The sequence below is a fragment of the Homo sapiens genome, chromosome 5 (assembly GCF_000001405.40).
Source record: "Homo sapiens chromosome 5, GRCh38.p14 Primary Assembly".
Classification (NCBI taxonomy): domain Eukaryota; kingdom Metazoa; phylum Chordata; class Mammalia; order Primates; family Hominidae; genus Homo; species Homo sapiens.
Window position 1 is genome coordinate 79,329,136 of NC_000005.10, and position 19,597 is coordinate 79,348,732.

The following is a 19,597-nucleotide window of genomic DNA, read 5'->3' on the forward strand; positions in this document are numbered from 1 at the left end:
AAAAAATATCTAAGTATTTCTAGGCTTCTTTCATAACTCTTCCCTCTCTGCCTAGTTACTCTTTCTCATGGTTCCAGATGACATCTCTCTCATCATGACTCCATGTCCTCGCCTCTTCTCAGTTCACTGTATGTACGCAGGTCCATATGTGTTCAGTTGCCTAGTGACCTCTTTCTTTGGAAGCCTCACACGTATCTGAAATATAACATGCCCAAAACAGTCCCCTTGACCCTATCACCATCAAAACCTGAACCCTAATTTTCCCACTTTTCCCCGTCTTTCACAATTCCTCCAGTTCTGCCTTTCAGAATTTAGAAGTTATCCTTGATACCTTTCTCAACCTCACTTCCCGGCTCCCATCCAAATCTCCCAGTCCTGTCATACCTAACTCTAATATACACCTGGCACACACACACTTCTTTCTCTATCCCCTGCCACCCTTGGGTCCCAGCCTACGTCATCTATCCACTAGACGCTTCACTGGCTTCCTGCCCTGTCTTCCCACTGCTACTCTTGTCTGCCTGCAACTCATTCTATACCCACAACGTGGTGAGATCATGTCTCTCCCCTGCATAAAGCTCTCCAATTTCCACTGCAGTTGGAATAAAGCCATAAATTTCCTACCCATAAACTACAAGGAGATGTGATTTGGCCCCTGCTATCCACCCCACTGCTTACTGGGCTCCAGCCACATGTGTAATCTCTTTCTTACCTTAGGACCTGTGCGCAGACTCTGCCCTCTCCCTAGAATTGTTCACCTCCCTCCCTTTTGTAAGTATGGCCAACTTGGTGTCTCCCAAAATTCATACTTTAAGTTCTAACCCCTAGTACCTCAGAACGTGTCCTTATTTGGAGATAGAGTCTTTACAGAGATAGTCAAGTTAAAGTGAGGTCATTAAGGTAGACGCTAATCTAATATGACTGATGTCTTTATGAAAACGGAAATTTGGACACAGACATTTATAGAAGAAGGAAGAAACACCAGAAAAGGTGATCCATAAGCCAAGGAGAGGGGCCTCGAACAGATCCCTCCCTCACAGCCCTTAGAAGGAACCAATCCTGCTGACAACTTGATTTTGGACTTCTGACTTCCAGAACAGTGAGACAGGGATTCCTGTTGCGTAAGCCAGCCAGCCTGTGCCCTTTGTTACAGCAGCCCTGGAAGCTAATGCATCATCATTGAGCCTTCCACTGAGATGCCAGCTCCTCACAGAGGACTTCCTGCTTTTCCTCAAGTAACTCCCCTGTTATCCTCTATGTCGGCCCCTTGTGTGGCAGAGCCTGCTCACCAGATGTCCCATCAACTGCCCCCTACATCTACTAGCACCGTTGCTGATAAAGAGCCTTGTAACTAATTCTACCCGGTGAGATGAAAAAGCAAATAACGTGCATCACTTTCAGCCTGAGATAGGAAAGTCCAAGATTGCACCAATCTTTCTCTTCTTTTGTGGCAAATGAAGAGGGCTCGTGCACTACCAGGTAGTATAGCCTCCTTTGAGATTGCGACAAAGAACAAGGGTACCCTCTGTCAACTATTTTGTTTCACCATCATATTAGAGGTACTAACATTGCAGTTAGGCAAGAAATATATAAAAGGCATTAAGGATTGGAGGGAAAGACAGAAATGGACATTTTGGTGGCAGATATAATGGTTACATATGTAGAAAATCCAAGAGTATCAATAGATAAATTACTAGGATTAAGAGGTTTAGTGAGGTTGCTTAATAAAATTATTTTTTATTTTTTAATGTAATAAAAGTAAATATCAGCTGAGGCTGGGCACAGTGGCTCACATCTGTAATCCCAGCACTTTGGAAGGTCAAGGTGGGCAGATCACTTGAGGTCAGGAGTTTGAGACCAGCCTGGCCAACATGGTGAAACCCTGTCTCTACTAAAAATACAAAAATTAGCCAGGTGTGGTGGCAGTCACCTGTAATCCCAGCTACTTGGGAGGCTGAGGCAGGAGAGCTGCTTGAACCCAGGAGGTGGAGGTTGCAGTGAGCCGAGATCATGCCACTGCCCTTCAGCCTGGGCAACAGAGCAAGACTCTGTGTCAATAAATAAATAAATAAATACCAACTGAATTTCTATATATTAGTATCATTGTTTTGGAAAGTTAACAAATCAATGAAAAGAAGACAAACAATGCAGTGGAAACATGGGCGTGAGACTTGAGTAGGCAACTCATAAAAGAAGAAATACAAATGGCTAAATGTGCATACAAAAAAGTAACAAAAAGCATAATTAAAACCAAATTTAACCCTCAAGACTGGTTAAAATTTTAAAGATTGACGATTTTAAGTGTGGGCAAGTATTTGGAAAACAACGTTTATATACTACTGATGGTCATATACACTGCAACAACTATTTGGAAAGCTGGTAGGCATTATCTACAAAAGTTCAATATATGCTCACTCTGTGGCCCAACACTTCCTTATGCAGCTGAAATATGTGTATGCCTAAACGGGGAGACATAGGCAAGAATGTTTATAGCAGCATGATCCTCAATAGGCAGCAACTAAAATAACCCAGATGTCCATCAACAGGTGAATGGGCAAATTGCGGTATATTCCTCAAATGTAATCTAGTGATGCAATGGAGTAAGACAGAGCAAAAGGAATACAGCTACATGCAACAATTTGGATGAATCTCACTGATAGAAAGTTGAGCAAAAGGAGCTGAAAAGAATATATAAAATATGACTCCAGTCATATAAAGTTTCAAAATAGGCAAAACTAAACTGTAGTGTTTTAGGGGTATTATTCAGGCAATAAAACTATAAAGAAAAGCAAGGGGGTGATGACCATAAAAAAATCAAAACAGTGGTCACCTTTGCAGGAGAGGAGAGCTTTATGACTGGGAACGGGACACACCAAGGACTTCTGTGGGGCTGTCACGTTTCTACTTCTGGGCCAGGGTGGTCGTGAGGTGTTTTGTTTCGTTTTGTTTCGTTTTGTTTTGAGACGGAGTCTCGCACTGTCGCCCGGGCTGGAGTGCAGTGGCGTGATTTAGGCTCACCGCAACCTCCGCCCCCCAGGTTCAAGCAGTTCTCCTGCCTCAGCCTCCCAAGTAGCTCGGATTACAGGCGCCTGCCACCACGCCCAGCTAATTTTTTGTATTTTTAGTAGAGACGGGGTTTCACTATGTTGGCCAGGCTGGTCTCGAACATCTGACCTCGTGATCCACCCACCTTGGACTCCGAAGTGCTAGGATTACAGGCGTGAGCCACCGCGCCTGGCCGGTTGTGAGGTTTAATTTACAATAATTCAGTAACCTGTGCATTCGTGTTTACACATTTTTCTAAATAAGTATTACATTTTACAATATAAAAAGTTTTTTAAAAGCTCTAACACAGGGCTTTTTATTAAAATTCTAGAAATTACTTCTGGAATTTAGTTGCCAAAAAGTTTTTTTCTCCACAAAATAATTAGCGTTCTTGCTCTACAAAACAAGGAGAACCATATAATCTAACATGCTTTACTTTTTTTTATTAGCTGGCAAGAATTACAAGCTAAATTTAGTGCTCCAATGGAAAAGCCAACTCATCTCAGACTTCTGGGTTACACAGTTCTGTGCTCCCTTTAATTGGCTTTGTGTGTGTGTGTGTGTTTTGTAAACTCTCCTGCCCTAGGTATTTTAACATTTTAAATGTTCTCCTTTGAGAAGTGGGTTTGCATTTTTTCAAGTTACTTTGAAAAAAGCTGCTTCAAAATAGCATGACACAGTGGTTAAGAGCAAGGGCTCTGGTGCTGCCTACTAGCTGTGTGAGGCTGGGCAAGTCACTTCTCTGCTTCTTCTCATTCATCTGTAAATTGAAGGCAGTAATGAGATCTACCTCATGGTTGCTGTATGGGTTTAGTGAGTATATTTAAAGTGCATAGGCAGGGCACGGTGGCTCACGCCTGTAATCCCAGCACTTTGGGAGGTTGAGGCGGGTGGATCACTAGGTCAGGAGTTCGAGACCAGCCTGACCAACATGGTGAAACCCCGTCTCTACTAAAAACACAAAAATTAGCCGGGTGTGGTGGCGCACACCTGTAATCCCAGCTACTCAGGAGGCTGAGGCAGGAGAACTGCGTGAACCTGGCAGGCGGAGGTTGCAGTGAGCCGAGATTGTGCCACTGCACTCCAGCCTGGCGACAGAGCTAGACTCCGTCTCAAAAAACAAAAGATAAAAAAATAAAAAAATAAAAAATAAAGTGCATAGAAGAGTGCCTGGCACATTATGTAAGTGTCAGCTATTATTGTTCTCCTAAAGATGTGATGCCAAAATTATTCACAAAGGACTACAAAGATCTGAGTAATTTAAAAGCAAAAACCTCTGAGGCTAAAATATATCCTCTTGGACAGATCTGAAAAAGCATCAGTAATCATCTACATGTCCTTACATAAAAGAAATGGGAATTGTTTCATTCACATGTCACAAAATGAATGTTATTCAATAGGGAACACTTTAAGTTAACAATAAAAACAAAGAAAAATCCCTACCTTCATGTCTGCTCTTTGTAGAACTGGGTGCAATTGAAGAATGTGGAATTTCTATTTTCTGACTGACTTTCTGTGGAACTGCATCCTAAACAATCACTGATGGCTCTCACCTGTGATCCCAGCACTTTCAGAGGCCAAGGTGGATCACCTGAGCCCAGGAGTTCGAGACCAGCTTGGGCAACGTGGCGAGACCCCCATCTCTATTTAAAAAAAAAAAAAAAAGAAACTATTTTAAAAATATGATGAACACAAAAGATCTTGGAGTTAAATACAGTGGATTAAAACATGATTTTCTTGATACTCCCTCCTAAGGCCCTAGCATGGCAGCAGAGAGACAAAGAACAAAGGGGAGAAAGTGACGGATGCATGAAGGGGAAATGACTTAGCCGACTAGAGGCAGCTGACCTGAGGGTCTGCAGTGCAGCCCTGCGGCCCAGCACTCGGAGGCACTGTGTTCTTTGGAAGGTGGGGTTGAAGGACAAAGTTGAAAAAAGGGACTGGTGGAAAATTTGAAGCAGGAGCAGTTAGACCCTTCCCCTCTTCCATGCCCTCCCTTCCCACTGCAAGACACTAGAGTTCATTTTCTGGACAAAATGAGCCAGAGGAGATCTGGACTCAACCAACAGGAACAAGAGGAGGTTGAAGGTAACATGGAACACTGGAGGACTCCGTTATTAATAAAGTCTGCTGCCAGAGCCGTGAGACTCCTGGCTGCCCTCTCCTGCCTGGTTCTGGGAGGGCACTCAGCCAAACACATACACCCGGTGGGTCTGGAAGACCCTCCCTGGAAACGCTAAATGGCCCCAGAAGAGACCTCCACATGTTGTTTGTGTTGGGGGTGAGGGGAAGGTTTGTGACATGACACAGCTGGCATCCCACCCAATCTCTCTGAAGATGTCGATCCCCAAAGCCACCAGTCAGTCAGCGTCCCCACCCCAGAGCTCCAGCATCTCACTGTAGAACAGAAGCAGACCACTTAAGAGTCACAGTGGCATTTTCAGAAAGTGTCCATACCATGGACACAAACAGACTGAAGAAAGCAATTCTGAGAAAACACAGACATTCAGAAACTAGGGGGAAAAAAAGTTTAATTAAAATTATTTTTAATCAGAAAAAAATGAGGTGAGATACTGTATCTATGAAACAAGAATGTGTTGCGATAAAAAGGAATATTCTGAGAACAAGGAACCACACTTAGAAACTAAAACTATGAGAGCTAAAATTACAAATTAAACACAAAGTTTAAAAGTACAGCCAGAAACTCCTAAAGCTGAATAAGCAACCAAAGACCTGAACAACAGAAAAGACAACCAGAGGATGAGTTCCCAAACCCACATTCGATTACTGCCCCCAGGGAAAGGAAAATAGAGGGGAGAAAATAATCAAAGAAATGATTTCAGAAACTCACAGTTCTGCTTGCAGCAATTCGAGTTGGGCTTCCTTTCATGGGCAGCAGAAGATTCCCTGATGGTCGTGAGGAGCGTTCCAGTAAGATGAGGACTCAGGAGTGCTCCCACAGTGGGCAACTTGGAGGTCACTGGGTACCCTGGTGAGAGCAATGTTGGCAGAGTAGAGGGGCTGAATCCAGGGGGAAGTCTGAGGAGCGAATGGAAAGGAAGAGGAGACAATGTGTGAGCACACACAAGTTTTACAGCGAGAAAGAAAATCAACTGACAGCTATGAAAAGGATTATTTATTATTATTATTATTTTTTTTTTTGAGAGGGAGTCTCGCTCTGTCGCCCAGGCTGGAGTGCAGTGGCGCGATCTCGGCTCACTGCAAGCTCCGCCTCCCGGGTTCACGCCATTCTCCTTCCTCGGCCTCACGAGTAGCTGGGACTACAGGCGCCCGCCACCACGCCCGGCTAATTTTTTGTATTTTTAGTAGAGACAGGGTTTCACCGTGTTAGCCACGATGGTCTCCATCTCTTGACCTCGTGATCCACCCGCATCAGCCTTCCAAAGTGCTGGGATTACAGGCGTGAGCCACCGCGCCCAGCCATAGGATTTTTTTTTTTTTTTTAATTTATTATTGAGATGGAGTTTCGCTCTTGTTGCCCAGGCTGGAGTGCAGTGGTGTAATCTTCGCTCACCACAACCTCCGCCTCCCAGGTTCAAGTGATTTGAGGAGGAATTTTTTTTTTTTTTATACTTTAAGTTCTACAGTACATGTACACAACATGCAGGTTTGTTACGCAGGTATACATGTGCCATGTTGGTTTGCTGCACTCATTAATTCATCACTTACATTAGGTATTTCTCCTAATGCTCTCGCTCCCCTACCCCCCAACCCACGACAGGCCCCCATGTGTGATGCTCCCCTTCCTGTGTCCAAGTCCTCTTATTGTTCACTTCCCACCTATGAGTGAGAACATGCGGTGTTTGGTTTTCTGTCCTTGTGACAGTTTGCTCAGAATGATGGTTTCCAGCTTCATCCATGTACCTGCAAAGGACATGAACTCATCCTTTTTTATGGCTACATAGTATTCTATGGTGTGTATGTGCCACATTTTCTTAATCCAGTCTGTCATTGATGGACATTTTGGTTGGTTCCAAGTTTTTGCTATTGTAAATAGTGCCACAATAAACATATGTGTGCATGTGTCTTTATAGTAGCATGATTTATAATCCTTTGGGTATATACCCAGTAATGGGATGGCTGGGTCAAATGGTAATTCTAGTTCTAGATCCTTGAGGAATGGCCACACTGACTTCCAAAATGGTTGAACTAGTTTACACTCCCACCAACAGTGTAAAAGCATTCCTCTCCAGCACCTGTTGCTTCCTGACTTTTTAATGATCGCCATTCTAACTGGTGTGAGATGGTATCTCATTGTGCTTTTGATTTGCATTTCTCTGATGACCAGTGATGATGAGCATTTTTTCATGTGTTTGTTGGCTGCATAAATGTCTTTTGAGAAGTATCTGTTCATATCCTTTGCCCACTTTTGGATGGGGTTGTTTGATTTTTTCTTGTAAATTTGTTTAAGTTCTTTGTAGATTCTGGATATTAGCCCTTTGTCAGATGGGTAGACTGCAAAAATTTTCTCCCATTCTGTAGGTTGCCTGTTCACTCTGATGGTAGTTTCTTTTGCTATGCAGAAGCTCTTTAGTTTAATTAGATCCCATTTGTCAATTTTGGCTTTTGTTGCCATTGCTTTTGGTGTTTTAGTCATGAAGTCCTTGCTCAGGCCTATGTCCTGAATGGTATTGCCTAGGTTTTCTTCTAGGGTTTTTATGATTTTAGGTCTAACATTTAAGTCTTTAATCCATCTTGAATTAATTTTTGTATAAGGTGTAAGGAAAGGATCCAGTTTCAGCTTTCTACATATGGCTAGCCAGTTTTCCCAGCACCATTTATTAAATAGGGAATCCTTTCCCCATTGCTTGTTTTTGTCAGGGTTGTCAAAGATCAGATGGTTGTAGATGTGTGGTGCTATTTCTGAGGCGTCTGTTCTGTTCCATTGGTCTATATATCTGTTTGGTACCAGTACCATGCTGTTTTGGTTACTGTAGCCTTGTAGTATAGTTTGAAGTCAGGTAGCTTGATGCCTCCAGCTTTGCTCTTTTTGCTTAGGATTGTCTTGGCAATGTGGCTTTTTTGGTTCCATATGAACTTTCAAGTAGTTTTTTCCAATTCTGTGAAGAAAAGTCATTGGTAGCTTGATGGGCATGGCACTGAATCTAGAAATTACCTTGGGCAGTATGGCCATTTTCACGACATTGATTCTTCCTATCCATGAGCATAGAATGTTCTTTCATTTGTTTGTGTCCTCTTTTATTTCATTGAGCAGTGGTTTGTAGTTCCCCTTGAAGAGGTCCTTCACATCCCTTGTAAATTGGATTCCTAGGTATTTTATTCTCTTTGTAGCAGTTGTGAATGGGAGTTCACTCATGATTTGGCTCTCTGTCTGTTACTGGTGTATAGGACTGCTTGTGATTTTTGCACATTGATTTTGTATCCTGAGACTCTGCTGAAGTTGCTTAACAGCTTAAGGAAATTTGGGGCTGCAACGATGGGATTTTCTAAATATACAATCATGTCATCTGCAAACAGGCACAATTTGGCTTCCTCTTTTCCTAACTGAATACCCTTTATTTCTTTCTCTTGCCTGATTGTCCTGGCCAGAACTTCCAACACTATGTTGAATAGGAGAGGTGAGAGAGGGCATCCCTGTCTTGTGCTAATTTTCAAAGGGAATGCTTCCAGTTTTTGCCCATTCAGTATATTGGCTGTGGGTTTGTCACAAATAGCTCTTATTATTTTGAGATACATTCCAACCATACCTAGTTTATTGAGAGTTTTTAGCATGAAACGATGTTGAATTTTATCGAAGGCCTTTTCTGCATCTATTGAGATAATCATGTGGTTTTTGTTGTTGGTTTTGTTTATGTGATGGATTACGTTTATTGATTTGCGTATGTTGAACCAGCCTTGCATCCCAGGGAGGAAGCTGACTTGATCATGGTGGATAAGCTTTTTGATGTGCTGCTGGATTCGGTTTGCCAGTATTCTATTGAGGATTTTTGCATCGATGTTCATCAGGGATATTGGTCTAAAATTCTCTTTTTTTGTTGTGTCTCTGCCAGGCTTTGGTATCAGGATGATGCTGGCCTCATAAAATGAGTTAGGGAGGATTCCCTCTTTTTCTATTGATTGGAATAGTTTCAGAAGGAATGGCACCAGCTCCTCTTTATACCTCTGGTAGAATTTGGCTGTGAATCCATCTGGTCCTGGACTTTTTTTGGTTGGTAGGCTATTAATTATTGCCTAATTTCAGAGCCTGTTATTGGTCTATTCAGAGGTTCAACTTCTTCTGATTTAGTCTTGGGAGGGTGTATGTGTCCAGTAATTTATCTGTTTCTTCTAGATTTTCTAGTTTATTTGTATAGAGGTGTTTATAGTATTCTCTGATGGTAGTTTGTATTTCTGTGGGATCAGTGGTGATATCCTCTTTATCAGTTTTTATTGCATCTATTTGATTCTTCTCTCTTTTCTTCTTTATTAATCTTGCTAGTGGTCTATCAATTTTGTTGATCTTTTCAAGAAACCAGCTCCTGGATTCATTGATTTTTTGAAGGTTTTTTTTGTGTCTCTATCTCCTTCAGTTCTGCTCTGATCTTAGTTATTTCTTGCCTTCTGCTAGCTTTTGAATTTGTTTGCTCTTGCTTCTTTTGTTCTTTTAATTGTGATGTTAGGGTGTCAATTTTAGATCTTTCCTGCTTTCTCTTGTGGGCATTTAGTGCTATATATTTCCCTCTACATACTGCTTTAAATGTGTCCCAGAGATTCTGGTATGTTGTATCTTTGTTCTCATTGGTTTCAAAGAACATTTTTATTTCTGCCTTCATTTCGTTATGTACCCAGTAGTCATTCAGGAGCAGATTGTTCAGTTTCCATGTAGTTGTGCAGTTTTGAGTGAATTTCTTAATCCTGAAGTCTAATTTGATTGCACTGTGGTCTGAGAGACAGTTTGTTGTGATTTCTGTTCTTTTACATTGGCTGAGGAGTGCTTTACTTCCAACTATGTGGTCAATTTTGGAATAAGTGCGATGTGGTGCTGAGAAGAATGTATATTCTGTTGATTTGGGGTGGAGAGTTCTGTAGATGTCTATTAGGTCCGCTTGGTGCAGAGCTGAGTTCAAGTCCTGGATATCCTTGTTAACCTTCTGTCTCATTGATCTGTCTAATATTGTCAGTGAGGTGTTAAAGTCTCCCACTATTATTGTGTGGGAGTCTAAGTATCTTTGTAGGTCTCTAAGGACTTGCTTTATGAATCTGGGTGCTCCTGGATTGGGTGCATATATATTTATATATTTAGGATAGTTAGCTCTTCTTGTTGAATTGATCCCTTTACCATTATGTAATGGCCTTCTTTGTTTCTTTTGATGTTTGTTGGTTTAAAGTCTGTTTTATCAGAGACTAGGATTGCAATCCCTGCTTTTTTTTGCTTTCCATTTGCTTGGTAGATCTTCCTCCATCCCTTTATTTTGAGCCTATGTGTGTCTCTGCGCATGAGATGGGCCTCCTGAATACAGCATACTGATGGGTCTTGACTCTTTATCCAATTTGCCAGTCTGTGTCTTTTAATTGGGGCGTTTAGTCCATTTACATTTAAGGTTAATATTGTTATGTGTGAATTTGATCCTGTCATTATGATGTTAGCTGGTGATTTTGCTCATTAGTTGATGCAGTTTCTTCCTAGTCTCGATGGTCTTTACATTTTGGCATGATTTTGCAGCGGCTGGTACCAGTTGTTCCTTTCCATGTTTAGTGCTTCCTTCAGGAGCTCTTGTAGGGCAGGCCTGGTGGTGACAAAATCTCTATCATTTGCTTGTCTGGAAAAGATTTTTTTTCTCCTTCCCTTATGAAGTTTAGTTTGCCTGGATATAAAATTCTGGGTTGAAAATTCTTTCCTTTAAGAATGTTGAATATTGGCCCCCACTCTCTTCTGGCTTGTAGAGTTTCTGCTGAGAGATCCACTGTTAGTCTGATGGGCTTCCCTTTGTGGGTAATCTGACCTTTCTCTCTGGCTGCCCTTAACATTTTTTCCTTCATTTCAACCTTGGTGAATCTGACAATTATGTGTCTTGGAGTTGCTCTTCTCGAGGAGTGTCTTTGTGGTGTTCTCTGTATTTCCTGAATTTGAATGTTGGCCTGCCTTGCTAGGTTGGGGAAGTTCTCCTGGATAATATCCTGAAGAGTGTTTTCCAATTTAGTTCCATTCTCCCCATCACTTTCAGGTGCACCAATCAAATGCAGATTTGGTCTTTTCACATAGTCCCATATTTCTTGGAGGCTTTGTTCGTTTCTTTTTACTCTTTTTTCTCTAAACTTCTCCTCTTGCTTTATTTCATTAATTTGATCTTCAATCACTGATACCCTTTCTTCCACTTGATTGAATCAGCTACTGAAGCTTGTGCATATGTCACGTAGTTCTTGTGCATGGTTTTTAGCTCCATCAGTCATTTAAGCTCTTCTCTACACTGTTTATTCTACTTAGCCATTGGTCTAATCTTTTTTCAAGGTTTTTAGCTCCCTTGCAATGGGTTCGAACATCCTCCTTTAGCTCAGAGAAGTTTGTTATTACCGACCATCTGAAGCCTACTTCTGTCAACTCGTCAGAGTCATTCTCTGTCCAGCTTTGCTCCATTGCTGGCGAGGAGCTCCGATCCTTTGGAGGAGAAGAGGCACTCTGGTTTTTGGAATTTTCAGCTTTTCTGCTCGGTTTCTCCCCATCTTTGTGGTTTTATCTACCTTTGGTCTTTGATGCTGGTGACCTACAGATGCGGTTTTGGTGTGGATGTCCTTTTAGTTGATGTTGATGTATTCCTTTCTGTTTGTTAGTTTTCCTTCTAAGAGTCAGGTCCCTCAGCTGCAGGTCTGTTGGAGTTTGCTGGAGGTCCACTCTAGACCCTGTTTGCCTGGGTATCACCAGCAGAGGCTGCAGAACAGAAAATATTGCAGAACAGCAAATATTGCTGCCTGATCTCGAGGAGGATTTTTTTTAAAGGTAAGAGCCATTAGGACATACTTCTATGATGATTGAAAAAATAAATAGTAAAAGTAGCTTGAAATAGTAATTGTATTCCTATTTCTGAGGTAAAGAAGACCATATATATATAAATATACACATATATATATTAATATATATACACACATATATTTTTGTTTGTTTGTTTTGAGACAGAGTCTCACTGTCTCCCAGGCTGGAGTGCAGTGCTGCGATCTCAGCTCACTGCAAACTCCACCTCCCAGGTTCAAGCGATTCTTGTGCCTCAACCTCCCAAGTAGCTGGGATTACAGGTGCACGCCACCACACCTGGCTAATTTTTGTATTTTTTTTTTGGATGGAGTTTCACTCTTGTTGTCCAGGCTGGAGTACAATGTTGTAATCTCAGCTCACTACAACCTCTCCCTCCCTGGTTCAAGCGATTCTTCTGCCTCAGCCTCCCAAGTAGCTGGGATTACAGGCATGCGCCACCATACCCAGCTAATTTTTGTATTTTTAGTAGAGATGGGGTTTCACCATGTTTTCCAGGCTGGTCTGGAACTCCTGACCTCAGGTGACCCACCCACTTCGGCCTCCCAAAGTGCTGGGATTACAGGCATGAGCCACTGTGCCCAGCTTAATTTGTGTGTTTTTTAGTAGAGGCAAGGTTTTGCCATGGTGGGCCAGGCTGATCTCAAACTCCTGACCTGAAGGGATACACCCATCTCAGTCTCCCAAAGTGCTGGAATTACAGGGGTGAGCCACCGTGCCTGTCTCACATTTATAATTAATAAAGAAAATGGAGGGCTGGGAGCGGTGGCCCATGCCTGTAATCTCAGCATTATGGGAGGCCAATGCTGGAGGATTGCTTGAGGCCAGGAGTTGGAGACCAGCCTGGGCAACATAGCAAGTCCCTGTCTCTGCAAAAAGTGGTACGCACCCATCATCCCAGCTACTCAGGAGGCTGAGATGGGAGGATCACTTGAACCTAGGAATTCCAGGCTGCAGTGAACTATGATCATGCCACTGCACTCCAGCCTGGGTGACAGAGCAAGACCCTGTCTCTAAAAAAAGAAAGAAGAAAAGAAAAAGAAAATGGAAAAGAAAATTTCCAATTCAGGAATTCTGGTGCCTAAGCACCTTTGACCTCAATGATGAGGAAGATTTAAATTCAAGGGATTATAAGAGATGAGGGAGGGTATGACTTATTTTCCCCCAAGTAGCTGCCTCAGTTCTCCATAATTAAACAGTGCATATGAAAATAACCATAGATCTATTCTGGTACTAATTTTCTAGAAAAAGTTTCATTTTCCCACTGTACTTTCAGTAGTTTCTTGCATCACTAGTGCAGTGTCCTGAATAGTTCACATTCAAGGTCAGCAATTTTTGTTTATTTTTTGAGATAGAGTCTTGCTCTGTTGCCCAGGTTGGAGTGCAGTGGTGCAATCTCACCTCATTGCAACCTCTGCCTCCTGGGGTCAAGTGATTCTCCTGCCTCAGCCTCCTGAGTAGCGGGGATTACAGGCCACGCGCCACCACGCCTGGCTGATTTTTGTATTTTTAGTAAAGATGGGGTTTCACCATATAGGACAGGCTGGTCTCGAACTCCTGACCTCGTGATCCACCCGCCTCAGCCTCCCAAAGTGCTGGGATTACAGGTGTGAGCCACCGCACCTGGCCAGGTCAGTGACCTTATTAACCATTTGCTCAACAAGTAATTTAATCATTCAACAGGATTCATTCAGCCCCCAGAATATGGCAGGGTACACGCATCTACAACGCTAGGTGATAGAGACAAGCTGCAAAGGCCAGGCTCTGCCCTCACCGTTCTCAGTAGGGTGGGAAGTTTTGGACACCTGTGTGAGACCCATGCAAGGCACCCACCATGGCTGAATCACAAGAGGTATCTGCTGCAGCCACAACACAGCAGGGACATCAGGAGAGGACAATGTGGCATAGAAAGCAAAGAGGGATCCACTGGGAAGAGGGTGTGGCCTCAGCCCTGCAGCACCTGGGGAAGTGCTGTCCCTCAGGAACCTAGTAGTCCCCCCAGAGGGTGCCGCTCTTATATGGGGGTTGACTGTCTTACAACCTGAAGTCTTCTGCCAAACTCTGCAACTGATTTCCGGGAAATCTCTGTGAAGAGCAAAACATGTTACCAGCACAGTAGGTCAACCCCAGGGCGGAGCCCCCTGCTCACTTACACAACTGTCATTTCTGCCTCCCCTGGACCAGCACCGGCAGGACGCTCGCTGTGTGGCTTTCACTGGGAGAGAACATTGTGGCCCGCCAGGGGAGTGTCTCTGCCCTGGGAACTTGGCGCTCCTGCCCAGGTATTATAGAGCCGGGATGAGAGGAGAGGGTTAGGAACACCACTAAGACCTCAGCCCGCCAAGCCGCAGTTTGAAAATTCAAGCCGTGTTGGACTGAGTGTTAGCACAGTTTCCAGAAAGGCTAGTTTACTCCCTGGCACTGGAAGAATCTGATTCAACGTCAATCCAGAATGTGCTGTGGTGAATGTTCTCTCTATATAAAGTATCTCCTATTTCAACAGCCATCATGGGAAAAGAAGTCTATGAAAAGTAAAAGGAGCAGCAATGAGTGAGAAGCACTGCTCAGTCACAGCAAATGTTCCCACCCAAGAAATAATTTTATTCTATTTTTGCAAATGCAAATAAGAATGGAAATTTAACATGGTCACTTTCACCGTGGAGCAGGCTTTTATAACTGCTGCCGAGTTCCGCAATCATCATAAATGCCTCTCATTCACTCACATGCTAAGCTTGACCCTCACGCGTCCTCGCAGCACATCCGAGACTTCGGTGTCTTTCTCTCAGCTAGAAGCCTGCCATTTTCCAGCTTCTGTTTTGCACAAATGCAGCAAGCTAAGCAGCTTAGGTTTAGGATCTGGGTTTAGACAGTGAAAGATTTTGAGTTGCACTTTTTCAGCCTGTCGTGGAGAGAGCGTGGTGAAGGGGCAACTCCTGGAGGGCCGTGGCTTTTCGTCCTGTGTGCCCTGAGGCCAGTCACTTAGCTTCTCGGGGCCTCAGTTTCCTCCTTCAGGACATGAGGAGGTTGGACAGTAGACTCTCTGAGGTTTCTTCCAAAAACTACAACCTATGATTCTTTGAGCCCCTCCAACTGAACTAGGTTACTCCAGTGGGCAATAAAACAAGAACACACTCTCCAGCCTTCTAGTTTCTGAATACGGCATGGAAGAAGTAAAATGGAATCTACCCCCGAGGAAGCCACACCACTGCAGGGCAGGGTGCAGAAAGAAATAGGTCTCTAGGGGCCTGGCCTGCTAAACCCAGAGGCTGCCTGCCGTCGGCAGCTGGCGCTCAGGGGTGCATAGGGGACTGGAGAAAGAGAAGGGCTCCACAAACCCAAGACCCTGTTCAGTCCCCAGCTAGTTCTCTGCTCAGGGGCTTTACCCAAAACCATAAGATAAACTCTTTTTCTACAAATCCACATAGGCTTCCCAGAAACCAAAAGGCTCTCCACAATGTTTCACATGAGTCTTAAACACTGGCTCAGGTTGGGCGCGGTGGCTCACGCCCGTAATCCCAACACTTTGGGAGTCCCAGGCGGGCGGATCACAAGGTCAGGAGATTGAGACCATCCTGGCTAACATGGTGAAACCCCGTCTCTACTAAAAATACAAAAACACAATTAGCCAGGTGTGGTGGCGGGCGCCTGTAGTCCCAGCGACTCAGGAGGCTGAGGCAGAATGATGTGAACCCGGGAGACGGAGCTTGCAATGAGCCGAGATCGCGCCACTGCACTCCAGCCTGGGCGACAGAGCGAGACTCCATCTCAAAGAAAAAAAAAAAAAAAAACCCACTGACTTATCAAGCAGAGGTTCATCAATGCTTTTTGGATGACGCGGTTCCACACAACTTCTCGGCTGCGCATGACACCTTTCTCCTAGCCCCAGATTCAACAGTCAGCAGCTTACGAAAAAGATCCCCCTAGTAACTTTATTGAGACATAAGTTACAAACAAGTTGTACTGACTTAAAGTATACAACTGGATGAGTCTGGACAGTTGTATACACCATGAAACTACCATCACCACCAAGATCACAACACTGCCATGGCCACCAAAAGATTCCTGGGCTCTTCTGCAGTCCTGTCTTCTATCCCCTGCTACAGGCAACCACCGACCTGCTTTTTGTCACTATATAGATCGGTTTGAGTCTAGAATTTTAAATAAATAGAATCAAACAGTATGTCCTTTTGTGTTTGGCTTCTTCCACTCAGCATAATGAGATCTGTTCATGTTGCTTGTACCAACATGTGTTTCTTTTTATTGCTAAATAGTAACCCATTGTATAGATGCACTATGTTTTATTTATCCATTTACCCCTTGGAGGGTATTTGGGTTGTTTCCAGGGGATATTACGAATAAAGATTCATGTGCGAGTCTGAGTGTGGACGTGTATTTTTATTTTTCTTGAGTAAATAGGAGTAGAATGGCTGGATCATATGGTAGGTGTATGTTTAAAGAAAGTTCACAAAATCCTGAGGCAAACAATAAATGATTGCCAGACACACCTTTGCCCTCAATGCAAAAAAAGGTTAGAGTTTCTTTGGAGGCATTGATTTTTAACGTTCTCTTTCTCTGAATGTTTTGAATATAACAGGGATGGAAGAAGAGGTTTTAACAAGTTATACATCATTTCCCTCATTTGCAGAGGAGGAAATTAGGGCCTGGTGAGATGAAGGTACCTGCCAAAAATGAAGTTATATACAGGCCTGGCACAGTGGTTCATGCCTATAATCTCAGCACTTTGGGAGGCTGAGGTCGCTTGAGCCCAGGAGTTTGAGATCAGCCTGGCCAACAAGGTGAAACCCTGTCTCTACAAAAAATACAAAAATGAGCTGGGCATGGTGGCACACACCTTTAGTCCCAGCTACTTGGAAGGCTGAGATGGGAGGATCACCTGATTCCAGGAAGTCGGGGCTGCAGTGAGCTGTGATCACATCACCACACTCCAGCCTGGGGGATGGGAATGAGACCCTGTCTAAAAAAAACCAGAAAGGCTGGCGCGGTGGCTCATACCTGTAATCCCAGCACTTTGGGAGGCCAAGGTAGGTGGATCCCTTGAGGTCAGCAGTTCAAGACTAGCCTGGTCAACATGGTGAAACCCCGTCTTTACCAAAAGTACAAAAATTAGCTAGGTGTGATGGCACATGCCTGTAATCCCAGCTACTCAGGAGGCTGCAGCAGGAGGATCACCTGAGCCTGGGAGGCAGATGTTGCAGTCAGCCAAGATCATGCCACTTCACTGCAGCCTGGGCAACAGAGTAAGACCCTGTCTAAAAAACAAAACAAAAAAACAAAATCAACAACAACAACAACAAAACAATCATGCTTGATTAAAAACTAAAAACAAAAATAACCCCCAAAACAATAACAACAAAGAGTTACAAGCTGCATGGAAGATAGTGGCAGGTCACGTGTGTGAAGAACACCGCGTGGCAAATGCACGTGTGCGGAGTTCTTCATGGAAGGAAATGTCAAGAAGAGCCCCCTGGCTCTGGGAGCTGACTCACACTATTAGAGTTGTGCACTGTCACAGCTGGGAGTGGCCTTAGTCATCATTTATATTGGATGACACATCTTCTCAACTTAGAATCTGATGAGGAAAAGTCGTTTTTAGCATGAGTTTCTGACAGAACCCCAGCCCTGAGACTTAACAGTCATGTGGACGGACCATCACTTTGCCCCAGGCCAGCACTGCCCACTCAAACAGCTAGGCCTTTGCAGTTTGAGTAGGTCAACACCTCTGTGGAAACACCTCACACCTTTGACAAATGTCAAACTGCCAGTAGTGAACTTTGAATTCCTTCAAGTAGAATCCAGTGGAAATAGTTGTTCCTTTTTCATCCTTGTTTGCAATAAAAATGGAATGAAATCTTTAATTGAGCACATCTCTTTCCTAATCTGAAAATAAGCCTCATAAAATTCTAATTAAAAAAATCAATTCGGCCGGGCGTGGTGGCTCACGCCTGTAATCCCAGCACTTTGGGAGGCCCAGGCGGGTGGATCACCTGAGGTCCTGGGAGTTTGAGACCAGCCTGACCAACATGGAGAAACCCGTCTCTACTAAAAATACAAAATTAGCCGGTGTAGTGTCGCATGTCTTAATCCCAGCTACTCAGGAGGCTGAGGCAGAAGAATCGCTTGAACCCTGGAGGTGGAGGTTGCGATGAGCCGAGGTGGCACCACTGCACTCCAGCCTGGGCAATAAGAGTGAAACTCCATCTCAAAAAAAAAAAAAAAATCAATTCATGTTTGCTGTCTATTGTCAATAGCATGCGTGATTCCTGGAGGGATATTGATAAGATCACTTTTAGCAATAAGATAGCAAATCTTATTTTAGACGGGACGCTGCTTGATGCATAATATTTTGAGTGTTACAATCAGGTAGATAAAAAAATGCATATTTTGAGGAAGAAACATGTCACTTGGAAGTATTTGACCATAACCTCAACAGCAAATAAAATTACTTCATTCCTTCAGGAAAAACAACATTGAGAAGAGAATTCATGATATGAAAAGAATATATTGGTTAGAATGGAATGACTTAGAGTTGGTTTCTTGGAATGACTTTTTCTTCACAAAGTGAAAAGAATTGAAATGAAATTCAAAAATTATTTGACCCAAATAATAAAGAGGAAGAAATAACAACTTACAGAGAGATGTTACCTTTATCATGTTTTCAAATTTGTCGGTTTTCTCAAAGGCATCCTAGGCTGTGGTGAAAAAAGCTCCTATCATCCTTGCAGTTGCTTTTATAACCTGCAGATTACGCTGAATCCCAAAGGCATTTTTGTATGTTGTTGTTTTTTTTTTTTGAGACGGAGTCTTGCTCTGTTGCCCAGGCTGGAGTGCAGTGGCTCGATCTCAGCTCACTGCAACCTCTGCCTCCCAGGTTCAAGTTATTCTCCTGCCTCAGCCCCCCGAGTAGCTGGGATTACAGGCACCCGCCACTGCGCCAGGCTAATTTTTGTATTTTTAATAGAAACCAGGTTTCACCATGTTGGCGTCTGGTCTCAAGCTTCTTACCTCAAGTGATCCGCCCACCTTGGCCTCTCAAAGTCCTGAGATTACAGGCATGAGCCATGGTGCCCGGCCATACTGCATGTTTTTAAGGAACCCATACATATTCTCACTCTGAAGGTAAACTGTTGGCTCCCAGTCTGCAACAAAAACTATTCCAGTATTCAGTCAAGGTGGAACCAAAATCTTCACATTGAAATCTAAGTTGAAGGGAGATTTTTACTGAAGAAGGTGTATGGGAAGGCTAAGTAAGTTCTCTAGGTGAGGAATGGGGGTGTCACCCACTTTTTATCATAATGACCCCCTTTATTTGATCCCAACTCGAATAACCCTGGGGCTCTTTCCAGAGGGCTGAGGAGGCAGGAGACCTAAGCACTCTTAGTATTACTGACAGCATTTTAGCATCCGGAATGCCAGGGTCTGGTTTTCCAAAAACCTGTCCCCAAGGCTCTTTTGAGTCCATGTGAATTAATCTCCTCTGGCACAAGAGGAAAATTATATTTGGAATGCAGTTTAATCATTGCATGCAACTTTCTTGCAAATATTTTC

General features: G+C 43.4%; 1 long non-coding RNA gene across 2 annotated transcripts in view, besides 1 other annotated feature; it reads right to left on the reverse strand.

Annotated features, from left to right (window-relative positions):
• Nucleotides 1–18,879, reverse strand: part of LOC102724530 (uncharacterized) — a 31,006-nt gene extending 12,127 nt beyond the window's left edge. Inside the window, exons 1-3 of one of the 2 annotated variants that reach the window (XR_001742755.1) lie at nt 18,682–18,879; nt 5,897–6,084; nt 4,489–4,688 (exon numbers count right to left, since the gene is read on the reverse strand). This is a non-coding gene — a long non-coding RNA (uncharacterized LOC102724530). The remainder of the gene's footprint in view (nt 1–4,488; nt 4,689–5,896; nt 6,085–18,681) is intronic. The other variant, XR_001742756.1, reaches the window with a different exon arrangement.
• Nucleotides 17,006–18,205: an enhancer, noted in NCBI's record as "MED14-independent group 3 enhancer chr5:78641964-78643163 (GRCh37/hg19 assembly coordinates)". NCBI's record gives its function as "activates an origin of replication core promoter dependent on BRD2, BRD4, P300/CBP and CDK7 cofactors, and independent of MED14, by STARR-seq in HCT116 cells {active_cell/tissue: HCT116}" and the evidence as "EXISTENCE:reporter gene assay evidence [ECO:0000049][PMID:35650434]".
• Nucleotides 18,880–19,597: the final 718 nt, after the last annotated feature.